General features: G+C 33.4%; 1 protein-coding gene across 26 annotated transcripts in view, besides 1 other annotated feature; it reads left to right on the top strand.

Annotated features, from left to right (window-relative positions):
* The window catches only part of ZNG1A (Zn regulated GTPase metalloprotein activator 1A), a 58,220-nt gene that overhangs the window by 13,804 nt on the left and 30,647 nt on the right, over window positions 1-13,769 (top strand). For 11 of the 26 annotated variants that reach the window (NR_174360.1, NR_174358.1, NR_174359.1 and 8 more), the window contains 5 exons: window positions 1,216-1,275; window positions 2,784-2,821; window positions 8,726-8,772; window positions 10,458-10,544; window positions 13,175-13,219. Coding sequence is in view for 18 of the 26 variants with exons in the window: in NM_001399798.1 (NP_001386727.1) it covers window positions 1,216-1,275; window positions 2,784-2,821; window positions 8,726-8,772; window positions 10,458-10,544; window positions 13,175-13,219 (277 nt within the window). In the remaining 8 variants the exon portion in view is untranslated. Of the gene's footprint in view, window positions 1-804; window positions 851-1,215; window positions 1,276-2,783; window positions 2,822-5,112; window positions 5,258-8,725; window positions 8,773-10,457; window positions 10,545-13,174; window positions 13,220-13,769 lie in introns of all 26 variants that reach the window. The other 15 variants (NR_174355.1, XR_001746353.2, XM_005251515.2 and 12 more) reach the window with 8 other exon arrangements.
* Window positions 4,473-5,596: an enhancer, noted in NCBI's record as "VISTA enhancer hs628". NCBI's record gives its function as "enhancer in: hindbrain (rhombencephalon)[8/10]" and the evidence as "EXISTENCE:transgenic organism evidence [ECO:0001131][PMID:17130149]".

The following is a 13,769-nucleotide window of genomic DNA, read 5'->3' as shown; positions in this document are numbered from 1 at the left end:
TTTAAATGACTTATTGTTTGGAGTAGTGATACAGTAGATTTAATTTCCCCCCTCATTAATTAAAATCATGTTTTAGCCAAGAAAGTGAACAAAATTCTTATTGGCAATTCAGTTGTTTCCCGTTTTGGAGACTGACACGCTCCAGTTCTAAGTTAAATAATTGTCATGGTAAAGTAATTTCCTTGAAAAGAACAGACATTGATTCAGCCCCTGTTACTCACAAATCCTATTTGAGTCAAATTGGAAAACTATTAAGTTTTTGGGAAAAAAATCAATAGGTATCAGGAAACCATTAGATCTTGTGGCCCTTGCTATATCTTGCATGAGTAATCACTGTAAACAGCTGACAGGTATTTCATTGTTGACACCGAGTGATGCTTGGGGGACCACATCTTGGCAGAGTAGGTGGACAGCTTTAGACGCTGGAATGAGTTTGATTATCCTTGTTTTTCTCCTACACTCATTCTTTTAGACAGCCCTGTCACTAACTGGGCCTGTGATGCTTTCAAAAATCAAATACTTTCCTTGCTGTCAGTTTTCTTTTTCTTGCGTTGTGGCATACTAATCAGGGTATGTGGTTTGGTACTGAACCAATTTCTGTCAAAAGCAAGTTTTAATTTATTATTTAGGAAAAATTTTTCCTAAGACCCAGGTTTTATACAGTACTAAATAAATAGTGTGAGGAATAATTAGTAATGCCATAGAGTATATAATTTTACTTCTAGTTCTACACAGATTACAAGTAAATTTTTTTTGGGCAAGTGATTTTGGAATTATCTATGTTTTGTTTTCCTTTTCCTTTAGAGTGATAATTCACTATTTATGATTGAATGATTATCATATTAAAGAGGTGAGAAAATAAAAATAAGTCTGATGTGCACAAAGCCATACTGCTCAAATTGTTTGATAATATCTGTTAATTAAATTATTATGGCATCGGTAGAAGAATGATGTTTTGTTTATATGTGGTTAGAATTGGTCTTTTTTAAAGGAAATAACAAGAGAGATGGAAATGGAATGGGTATAAATAGTAAAAGGTTCTATCACTATAATTCCCTTTTGCTATAAATAGTTAAAGCTTCTATCACTATAATTTCCATAAGAAGATATATGTGTTTACCTGTTAATTTTATCAGGGCAAATTAAAACATGGATAGAATCATGTTTCTCAGTGTGAAGAAATATTTTTATTTGATGAATATTATATATTTTCAGGTGCAGTGGCTTCTATGTTTTGGGTTGATGCTGAATTAGGGAGTGATATTTATCTTGATGGTAAGTTAAAAAACAGTTTTCTTTTATCTTTCTTGTTTTTTTTTTTTTTTCTGAGACAGAGTCTCACTTTGTTGCCCAGACTGGAGTGCATGGAGTGCAGTGGCATGATCTCGGCTCACTGCAACCTTTACCTCCTGGGTTCAAGTGATTCTCTTGCCTCAGCCTCCCGAGTAGCTGGGACTACAGGCGTGCACCATCGTACCTGGCTAATTTTTGGATTTTTAGTAGAGACGGGGTTTCGCCATGTTGGCCTGACTGGTCTTGAACCCCTGACTTCAGGTGATCCGCCAGCCTCGGCCTCCCAAAGTGCTGGGATTACAGGCGTGAGCCACCACACCCTGCCTCTTTTGTTTTTTAGTAAAATCTTTATGGTTAAGCTTATTGTTGTTGTTCATTCATATTATAACTTTAATTCCTTGCATTGTTGTTCTTTTCACACTTTAGTTTAATGATGAAATCTTTGTTCATATAGATTAAAAAACCCCAGACAGTGGTGGAACTCGATGTCACTCAACTTCCAATTTAGTGCTTCCACTAAGGTTTTCTTTAAAAAAAAAAATGCTTTGTAGGTTTTCTGTATCCTCTGTTGTTTGATTTATGCCCTTAATATAATGTTAGAGCCTTTTATTTTAATCCTCCAGGCAATATGAGGATCATATTTTTGCTTTTATTTTCTCTTGAAGATAAGAATTAAACACTCCTGTCTTACTTTATTTACCTGAACACTTTTGGGCAATGATATGCCTTCATTTAAAATATATTAGAAACTTTCTTAGTTAAGCGACTATGTTTTCTCCCTTTCTCAGTCGAAATTTTCTTACTTTTTCAAAAGTAATAATCATTAAGAAATTTAAGAATTATTAAGCTGGGCCCCATCATTGAGCTCTAATATATGTGGCGGGTAACTGGTTGAATTCCTTAGGCATAATTAAACTCATTCTTTTGTTATCAGCATATATTCAGAGATTGCAAAATGAATTGGTAGTTTGGAAACTTAGGCATATGTTATGTAGAACATTTATGAGTTGGATTTGGATTTGGTGAGAGATGTTAGGAATGATACCTTAAGATGTCTCATTCTTTAGGCAATAATTTAAATCTTAAGAAAAGTCTTGATTTTGATTATGTGAAAATAAACTAGAAATAACCTGTCTTATGTACTTATCACATTTGACTATGTTATGAAATTTGACTTATATTTTGGATTGTAAGCTTTTTCAGTGCCAAGGAAATCTTATTTTCTTATTTATTTAATTTAAAATTTTTATTTGTTTTATATCGTTTCTAGTGCCTTAAAATAGTGCTAGCCACTCAGGAAATGCATTGACTTATTACTGGAATTTAATTAAATGGCAGCACTGGCAAGAGAAAAAAACAGTACATTGTTTTATTGAGTAGTATTTGTGAACTGAAATAGGTTAGTTTTAATTTTCATTTTGAAGTATGGTTGTACAAATATTAATAAACATTCTTTTTAAAAAGTGATTAAAATGTTTTTTCCTTTGTAGGTATCATAACTATTGTGGATTCAAAATATGGATTAAAAGTAAGTTGAAAGATTGCTATGAGTGGGTCATTATTGAGAGCTGGGAATATGGGGATTGATTGTTTAATTTTCTTTATGTTTGTATCTGAAATTTTCTTTAACAAAAACCTTTCTCAAAAAGATATCCTGAACAATAGGTGAAATTTGTGTTTTAATTATTAGTTTGTGTTAAATATTTCTTTTCTATTACTCTGAGTTTGATTTGGTGATAAAATTTGGAATTATAATTTGTAATAAGCATATGGGGTTAGGGTAGAGTTTGGTATGTATAACTCTTCACAAGGATTCAACCCCAATATTGGTAAGTTTTTCTGTTCCATAGAAGAAGCTGAGCTTGATAAAGCATCTGAGATCTTATTTTTCTTGTTAAATTACTATTAAACACACACTGGAAATGAGTTTTTAAAAAATATTGAAGACCTAGGTGATGGGTTAATAGGTGCAGGAAACCACCATGGCACCCGTTTACCTATGTAACAAACCTGCACATCCTGAGCATGTACCCTGGAACTTAAAATTTAAAAAGTACATATTGAAGAAAATCAGGATATACACATAGGATTAGTAAGAAGACCCTCTCCATTAAAAGGCATCTTGCATCGCTTCTTGGTCTTTTGGCTAAGATGAAGTGTAAAAGACATCCTGCTATGAATGTTTTTGTTAACTTCTAAGGTCCTAGAATGCATTTAAATGAGGTTTAATTTATAAAATGCATTTAGTAAGATCTTTAAAAGTATGTTGTTACATACAGTAAAATGATGTTTCTCAACTTCCCAAGTGAAATACCACTAAAGGCAGAAAAGAATGAAATCATCCCACCCACTGACCCGTTCCCAATCTGAGCATATGGATAGGGCCCAAAGCAGTAAGTTCTTGGAAGTTTAAATTCAGTGTTTAAAAATTAGTGTCTGTTTTGTATCCAACCTCATATCTGAACGTGTTAATTTTTTTTTTTTTTTTTTTTGAGACAGAGTCTCACTCTGTTGCCCAGGCTGGAGTGCAGTGGCACCATCTTGGCTCACTGCAACCTCCACCTCCCAGGTTCAAGCGATTCCCTTGTCTCAGCCTCCTGAGTATCTGGGATTACAGGTGCACACCACCATGCCCAGCTAATTTTGTATTTTTAGTAGAGACAGGATTTTACCATGTTGACCAGCCTGGTCATGAACTCCTGACCTCAAGTGATCCACCCGCCTCGGCCTCCCAAAGTGCTGGGATTACAGGCATGAGCCACCACGCCCGGCCTGAACTTGTTAATGTTTAAGTTTGCTTTTTTTCCCCAAATCTTTGCTGAAATTATGCTCTAAGGGGATATGTCAGGTTTGTCAAATAGCTACCAATACCTCTTCACTGGGCCTTCTCTCCCTCGTTGATAGAGTGCCCTAATTTGAAAAGTTTGGAAGAAAACTCCTTTTTTAGAGTTTAAAATCTCAATTTATGAATTTATGAATATAATTTAAGAATCAAAGAATGATCCCAAATACAGTATTACAGTTTCATGCAGAAAAATTCCAATGACTGTTGGAAATCATATTTCTTGCAAAATGCTTATGGAGGTAGCAAAAAAGCCCCAAATTATTCATTTTGAATGTTTATTATAGGCATGTTTGAATCTACCTCTTCCATAAATTTATTACAAAATTTGATATACCTATGTGACAGATAACTGCTAAGACATTTTGTTTTTTTTTTATTTTGATAGACTGAAAATGCCATGCTAAAAGTCAAACTGTTTATGTATTTTATGATTATAGGAATAATTTTATATGTATAGTTGGGTATGGAGAAGAGTTAAATAGAATCTATTATCAGCATGATGGAGGCCAAAAAAACAAAGCAACATTCTGAATAATGCAAACACAGTAAACGTTTAACCTCCTGCTACCTTGATAAAACCTCTTAAATTATTAAATCAATATACCTACACAAAACTGACACACTGTCAGGATAATGGAAACTTTAGATTTTCTAAGTCGGATGCCAGATAAATAACTTTGCCTTGATATAAAGAATTTTCCAACTTGTCCAATTCCTCTGGTTGCAAAGCTTGACCTCAGTAGCTGCTTGTGATTCAGAGAATTCTGAGGCAGTACAAGTAATGACACTTGGATAATGGGCAGCAATTTAAGAATGTCATGCTTCACAGAGCCAGCCCATCACAAGTAAAGCTGAGAAATGGTACCCTGTGGCCAGCCAGCCAAACTGAAACTGAGGTGGTAATTGATATCATGGGGTATCATGCTAATGGGATTGTCACCCATTGATGTGAAATATTCATTTTTTAATCATAGGCAAAGAATTGGACAACTTAAAATGACAGCTCTCTATTCTGAGGACTTGACACCCAGGCTACTGACATTGTTCTTTTCAGTTCCACAAATGTGACAGCATTTAATGCAATAGAAGCAATGAATGAAGTTACCCAGAGAAGGTCAAGTGAGAGGTTTCTTCTTGGTTCGTCTGTTATATTGCACAATCTGTTGAAACAATTCAGTCAGAAAACAGTTAGCTTGGAAAAGGCCAGAACAATAAATAGACTGACATTATGCAATAATTTTTTAAAAACTAAAATAGTGTTACATCTGTAACCAATCCATTTAAAAGAAATAGTTCCTGCTGCTGCTTTTTAAAAATGACACCAGACATCTTTGACACTAGATTTATTTCCACTCTGGTCAACAGCAGTGTTCTTTCATAGCCAGTGGGTTTTAAGATAGTTTTTTCTTTTCTTTCTTTCTCTTTTTTCGGTCCGGCTTCTTTCTTTATTTCTGCAGAAAAGGACACCCTATAGCCCTTCATGAAGTTAGGTCTACAGTGGTGTTATTTCAGAGAGTTCCTTTGTTTCTCTCCCTAACCCCCCCAGCTTTATTGAGGTATAATTGACAAGTAAAAATTATATATATTTAAGGTATACAATGTGTGAATTACATTATAAAACAATCGAGCTAGTTAACCTATCCATCACCTCACATTGCTATTTTTTTGAGAGGGGGTGGTAAGAACAGTTAAGATCTATGTTTTAGCAGATTCAAGTATACAATAGAATTAACTACAGTCATCATGCTGTAATTAGCTCTCCATGACTTATGCATCTTGTATAACGAACTTTGTATGCTTTGACCAACATCTCACACCACTCCCCTTTAATTTCCTTTGTTTCTTGTGGTAAGTTAAATTGGGGTTTTGATCCTTAGCCTTTTGAATATGTTGGATTAATTAGTATCAAAATTATTTTTGTCTTTTTTGATATATAAGCAAAAGCCATAGTTGTTAAGCAGAGATAAGGAATACTTTGGACATCTATGTAATATAAAATATTTAAAAAATATTTTGCAAAAATTTTTTCTTCATTTACTTATACAGGTGGAATAGAATGCCAAAATTTCCATTTTGTTTTATTTTATAAATGAAAGTCATCTGACTTAATGACCAAATGGTATAGAATGTATTATTGGAGAATGTTCTTTTGAATAGAAGACATTGATTTTATACTTTTTGCAGAGTTTGACTTGGGAAGGTAGGAAGTCACATGAGGGAAGTGCAGGGCTGATATCTAAAGAAAATAAATGTTAATATGCACTTATTTTTTAAATGTTTGTATGGCTTTCCTATGGGCATAGAAGAGGACATTTATCTCTTCTGCTATAATGGTATATGATTACATATAATTTTAATACAGCTGTAAATATTGGCAGGCTCTCATTTGGGGTGATTTTCATTTATTTTTATATTTGATACTTTCTGACTGCCTGGAAGTAGTAAAACGTTAGTCTACCACTGTTAGCTTTGAGTGAAGAATTCTAATATTTTGGAGAGGTAAATGCATTTAAAACATTGCACATTACCTTGTGAAACTAACATTGTATTAGTTACCTTTAGGCATGGAAATGCAAAAATAAATCTGTAATTCTTCTGTCATATCATTTTTATGCCTCACAAACTCATAGCCAAATAACCGCAATTTCATACGTTAAAAAAGCTTTCATAAGGTCAATAATATAATATCTTGAAAAATATTTCAGTTTAAAAAGAATTTTCAGTACTATAGGATCATTCAGAGGCAGATGCCTTGCCAAAAATATATCATTGTTAAGTAGATTTACTGCTTAATGGGAAGAGATTCGTTGCTGCATGTTAGATGGCATTTTTCATGTAACATCTTTTATGTATCCCCACAACAGGAGGTGTTAATTACAATTCATTCAACAAATATTTCTTGAGCCTGTGTGCCAGGCACCATTCCAAGGTCTGTTAGCAGCCTCATTCTCTAGAGGCAGAGTATATAACAATAGGACTTGTTGTAGCCTCAGGCCAAGATGAATTATGAAAAAAATATTAAACTTGGTCTTTTGGCATGGAATGAATTTTGATACAATACTGGTCAAGTTCTGTGACTTCCATAATTGCAGAGTGGGTCTGCAGTTGAATTGAACAAGATTTTGCCTGAAGTAGAAGTATCATTGCCATGATTTTATTTCAGTTTTGTTTTCCTCAAAATAGAATTTGCTGAACTTTTAGAAGGAAAAAATGTTTCTTCTATAGACCTCATCAAGCTTGTTAAATAAAATTATTACCTGCTTGCTCTGAGGTTCCAAACTATTCAGATACCCCTAATGATCATCTCCCCATGAATTGTGAAACTGGTTTGGCTCTGATATATGATTATTGACATTTGTGTAGCATTGTACACAGACTGATTTTATGTGGCATAAAAGATTTCACAAAGACTTTAAAATTATGTCATTTTACTTGATGGGTGTGTGTTCAATTAAAAAAAAAAAGTCCCTGTGATTGTATATAAAATATAGTATCCTGTGATGATGAGGGTGTTAGATTTAGTTTCTTCCTTTATAAATGAAAATAGCCATCTCCCATAATTATTATGAAAGCTAAATGAGAAAAATGTATATAATTCATAAAGTTAGGTTCAAGGATTTAATTCATTTGTAAAGTTGGCTTCAAATAGAGAGTATTACTATAATCTAGTTGCCTCTAAACCTCAGTAGCCAGCTTTTTATTGTGACAGGGAACCTCTATTGAGGTTTGAGGTAATGAGGGTAAAAGTGTAATTTCCCAGAGAAGAAGCTTGTGATGTTGATGACGTTAGGGATGTAAACAGGATTATGAGGGGGAAAAAAAAAAAAACAGACAACAAAGCTTGCCTCCAGAGAGATGAAAACTACCACTTGGGCTCTAAGTCAGTGTCAAAATATTTTTTGGAGTTAGCCTGACTCTGGAGAGGTCAGTAAAATAAACAGTTGCACTGAGAGGCCAGATTAGCAAGTATGGGTTTCTAAATGATAAACTGCTTTTAGGCTAGAATCAGGGCTGAATCAGCCTTCCCACCACTTATTTGTTTCTAGGGTGTTTGAAAGGCCTAGTACTGAGTTCACGTGGTGCATGATTGTGGGCTGGGGTGTAGGGAAGTATTTTAGATTCTAATATGGGGGTTTGGTGTGAAGGGAAGTATATTAGATTCTAAGAAACTATATTTCAGTGGTTATCCTTTTTTAAAAATAAGTAATAATGAATATTTAGAACCAGAACAGTTTTTTAAGAAGGAAAATACCTAAAATCTGAACTGTAATCTTCTATGTTTTTATGACATTATGTGAATCAAAGGGGTTTTCCTTTTAAGTAAAAGAAAAGGTCAGGAGTATGAAATCCTAAGCCCTCTTCCTCCCCCTATAAAACCCCACAGGTTCACTTGTAGAAAAAAATTGCAAATGGGGAAGAAAAATGCTTTTAGCTAGAAAAGTTAGTTTTGGATTTATGTATTCAGTAAGAGAACATGTTGAAGTTTTTATTAGATGCAAGAAAATGTCTCTAAAGTAAAATCCTTTGTGTTGACATTAGATTTTTTATTGTATTATAGTAACTTTATTCCAACTTTTTTTTGTTTAGCATTTAACAGAAGAGAAACCTGATGGCCTTATCAATGAAGCTACTAGGTATTCATATTTAAAGTATATATTGATTGCTGGCTAATTGTAAAGAGAAAAATCACTAAGATGAAAACCAAAAACAAACTAAGAAATTTTAAAACATAGTCAAGGAAAATTTATTTTCTTTTTTTCCCTTAGTTGAATTATTGCTATCTATTTATAATGATCTGATAACTAAACTTTTACTTAAAGTCATTTTTGTCGTAGCATAAAGTGAATGCTGAACACAGGAGTTCTGTAATTTTGAGGAACTCGGGAAATATTAACATTTAAAAATATTTTCTTGTTATACAATTTCTTTGGGATTGAAGATTTTATATATATATATATATGTATAATAATAATAATAATTATTATTTTTTGAGACAGAATCTCACTGTCACCCAGGCTGAAGTGCAGGCTCACTGCAACCTCCGCCTCCCAGGTTCAAGCGATTCTCCTGCCTCAGCCTCCCAAGTAGCTGGGATTACAGGCACCCGCCACCATGCCCAGCTAATTTTTGCATTTTTTTTTTATTTTTTTATTTTTATTTTTATTTTTTTTAGTAGAGATGGGGTTTCACCATGTTGGCCAGGCTGGTCTCGAGCTCCTGAGACCAGCTCGATCCACCCGCCTCGGCCTCCCAAAGTGCTGGGATTACAGGCATGAATCCACTGTGCCTGGCTGAACTTAAGTATTTTTGTAACTGTTTTCCTTATGAAAATATGGTTATTATAGAAAATATAAATAAGCCAAATAGAAAATAGCCAAATTGGATTTGTGATGTACATACTGTTGAAACCTGCTCTTTCAGTGAACTAAAGTGAATTTAGTTTTGAGAATTTAGTTGTATTCTTTGAGATAAAGCATAAGACCCTGAATAATTGAGGAAAATTGAAAGAATTTCCAGTTTTACTATCCTGCTAATAGAAAATAGAGCTTCTGATTATTATCATCTACTTTGTTATCTAGCATTCAGTCAACTGGATTCTTTACAGAGATAATATACAGTATATTTATAGTGATAAAGAAGACATTTGGGCAATATCCTGATATATCTTCTGAAGTATAGCTTATTTTTTTTTAAGAAATGGAGTCTTGCTATGTTGCCCAGGTTGGACTTGAACTCCTGGGCTTAAGGGATCCTCCCTCCTCAGCCTCCTAAGTAGCCAGGACTACAGGTGTGCTCTACCATGCCCAGCTCTGAAGTATAGTTTTAAAAAACCTGTTTAATACAGTTTTTAGTATTAAGTGAAGTTATTCTATTTCTTTGAAAATTTTGGTAAATATTACAGTATTTTAGTAGGTAAACTCTTCTTCTTTTTACCATATTGGATATCTGAATTTTATGCTTTTCTTCACAAAGAAAATTATGAGTTTAAAATCATCCTTTTGATTGTAAACTTTTTGAGACTTATCTTTGTAGCACAAGAGTAGCAAGTAACAGAACTTAGTAAATACTTTGCGAATGGGTAATGTGAAATCTGAACTTGCATAGTAATGAACACAATTCATCCACATTGAAAAATTAGCGGATTAGGAGTAAACTGAGTCACTCCTATAGAGCACTAGATAATTCTTAACTGATATATTGATCTACATGAGGCGTTTTTATTTATTTTTGATTTGTTAACATTCCTCTTTTGATGTATTAATCTGCATGCGTGTATATTATTTAAAGTTTCTTAACATTTCTCTGTTTGCTATTTTAGACAAGTTGCTTTGGCAGATGCCATTCTCATTAATAAAACAGACCTGGTTCCAGAAGAAGATGTAAAGAAATTAAGAACGACAATTAGGTACGAAATGATAAGTGTGTTAAGTGCCTACAGATCCATGTTGTATACACAGAATATTTTTTACTCTGATTGTTGCCCTGTAGAAACTTAAGGTATAAGGTTGAGCTGCTTCAAGAACGTTAGGGAATCACATATATTGTTGATGGCTAATTGTTATATAAATGGTAATACATAAAATTAGTCCCCAGTGCTTGCAGAATATAGTTCACAGTTAATAGACTGATATTCAGGGTCTTCGCACTCCATCTTTCTTTTCCTGTCTTCTCTTTGACTCTTTCCTAATGTCAGTCTTCCCTAACTTTACCCAGGATGGTTAATTCACTTTCCCATGGATGCATCCTGTCAGTTCCTGTCTTTACTCGTAATGTATTCTCACTCTGCCAATCCCTGAGTTCTTTCTTGTTCTGCTTTTTTTTTTTTTAATTTATTCTATAGAGCCTATTCTGTCTCTCCCCCCTTCCTATGTGAAGTCTTCCCTGACTCAAGTGGTCTCAGTTTTCCCTGAACTCTTGTTGACTTCATCTTCCTTAACTGTCAACCATGCCTTGTCTTCCAGCTTGCTTTAATATCTTCTTTGTCCATAGCCAAGGCTGATCAGCATAGGACAATCAGGACAATATGAATGATGCTCAAATATGTGCTAACAGTCATTTTGCTGACTGTTCTGGAGACTCCCATTCCTTTTGAAAACAAAGATGGGCTTTTCAAATGAGGTTATAGTTCAGGGGCTTTGTTTTGAATTATTTTGTAAGACCTGAACTAATAAAAGCCCTATACAGAGAGACATTCGGTAGCTATTAGTATTGGTTATCTTTAATGTGTACAATGCTTTGAGCGTGATGGCTCAAAATTACTATTCTTAGTATTTATAAGTTCTACTGACATTAGATTTTGAATCTGTCATCTCAGTTCATATAGTATATATTATCAATTGAATCAATAAAGGTAAGGCTCATTAGGAGATTATTTGCCATGATTAATGATTGTGGAAGAAAGAAATTCATATTTTTTCCACATATTTCATCTTATTTTAATAGTAATGTCCTTAAACTTTACTATAAAAAAATATAATGTCTCCACGTGGAGGGTAGGTATTGTTGCGTAGTGTTGAAGATCACAGACCTTGGAATCTGCTTGGGTTCTAATCCTTGGTCTGTTTCTCATTGTCTTCTTAGGGAGCTTATTTACCCTTTTAAAGCCTCCTCTGTAAAAGGCATAATGCCTATCATAAGTTTGCTTTGAGTATTACATGAGACAATGTTGGTAAACTTTGCACAGTGCTGACACATAGTAAGTGCTCTGTTAGCTATTATTATGTAATTTTTTTCTTAGCTTACATAGTAAGTTCAAGGTATAGTAAAAAAGGGAAGAAAGAAAAAGATGGCTGATTTTGAAAAGGAGAAAGTGATGAATGAAGATTGCTTTTACATTTTTTGACACTGGTCTTCTAATCTTGTTTCTCTTCATAAATCTTGTGCACCATTGTGATTGCTAAGAAGAACACAATCTATTTAGCAAATGTTTTTGGCATAAAAGGAATGATAATTATTACTTGACTTTTATATCCTTATAGAGACCTAAGCTAAATCTCTGACACTGACAATATTGACTATTAGCCAGCTTGTTAACAGTACTAGAAATGAATTTGGAAGAAGCAATTTGATAAATTACACACCCTTTTGGCTTTTACCCTCCCTTTATATCAGACTTGTGACTGACTCAGAATGATATTTGGGGAGGTGAAAAAAGGTAAACATGTTTGAGAGGAATTAGCCATCAGACTAGAGTGTATTCAAAAAAGAAGATTTAAGAATTTTGTAAAATAGTGGAGAGACTTGCCTCAGAATCATTATATGTGGGAAGCCTTACCCATGAGAACAAACTTGAACAAGTAGCAAGAATCTTGGGTAAGTAACCCTAAAGACAATTGAATTCATGATAGAGAATTGATGATTGATGATAGGCAATGGAAAAGATAAATAGATGAGGTGTACAGTGTGTTGAAAAGAATTTAACAGGTACTTTTTGGTGCCATACGAAGCCATATTCTATAGTATCAAAAGAGGGAGAACAGGCATAACGGGTAGAGAGCCTAATTAGGTAACTGACGAGGTTATTCTATAAAGGAACCTGGGATGTGTGACTTAGAATTACTGTGAATACTAAGGACAGGCTGGGGGCAAAGCAACTTGCAACTAGGTTTTTATTTTTAGTGTGTATATAGCCATTTCTACCATGTATGCCTGAGGAAAAAAGTGACCACCGTAAAAATTTTGAGTATCTACTCATTTTTAAGAACACTAGGATAACTGACTATTTATGAATGATTTTTTCTAAAGTGAAGTGTCTTTTTATTAACCACAAAGTAGCCCTTAATCTGACAGTTGTGCGAATTTTTGCATATATGTTTTATTAATGTATGAGTGGAATATATGTGATTTATTGTTTGAAGGAAAATCACAATTATTTTTTAAAGCAAGTTTTGTTTTTCTGTTTTTAATTTTTTTCTGGTTCCAGATGTATTTGGGTATGCTTATTTCCTGTTTTAGAAACAATATACTTTGTATACTTTTTTAAAAAGTTAATTTTTACTTTTAAACTTTGTCTTCCTCATTTATTATTTATTTCAGATCCATAAATGGACTAGGACAAATCTTAGAAACACAAAGATCAAGGTACTTTAAAAAAGCTATTCCTATTAATAACAAATCATTTTAGTTATTAATAATAAACATTAAATAATTGACAAATATGCTTGATTCTAATATAAGAAAGATCTAAGTGCATTTAAAAAGAATTGGATCCAAAATGTTGTTTGGAATGCTCTTAATAAGTTAGTTTGGCATATTTGGCTAGTACATTTGCCTGTCTTCAAAACTAAGAATACAAAGCCATGATAACACTGTGTAAGTGTTTGCTTAATGAGGAAGAAAAGACTTCCAAACACTCGAGAGGGTAACTCAGTACAGAAATCTGAAGTATATTGAGGAATCTTAATTTGAAGTGTTTAAATGGCTTTTTAATATTTAAAAAGCCTTCTTAGTGTTTTATAGTTGCCAAAAAATACATGGAGTCTTTACCTTGAAGTTCCTGACAAATTCTTTTATTAAATTTTGACTTTCATTTTCTCTAGGTTCTGTTCCTAAAACATCTGTGAAGTGTATTTCTGTAGATTAAATTCTGTTTTCCATTGAATGTTATCTTAATTTCAGAAAATTTCTGTGC

The sequence above is a fragment of the Homo sapiens genome, chromosome 9, assembly GCF_000001405.40.
Source record: "Homo sapiens chromosome 9, GRCh38.p14 Primary Assembly".
Lineage (NCBI taxonomy): Eukaryota > Metazoa > Chordata > Mammalia > Primates > Hominidae > Homo > Homo sapiens.
Note: the sequence above shows the minus strand (reverse complement) of the source record. Positions and strands in the feature narration are given on the sequence as shown.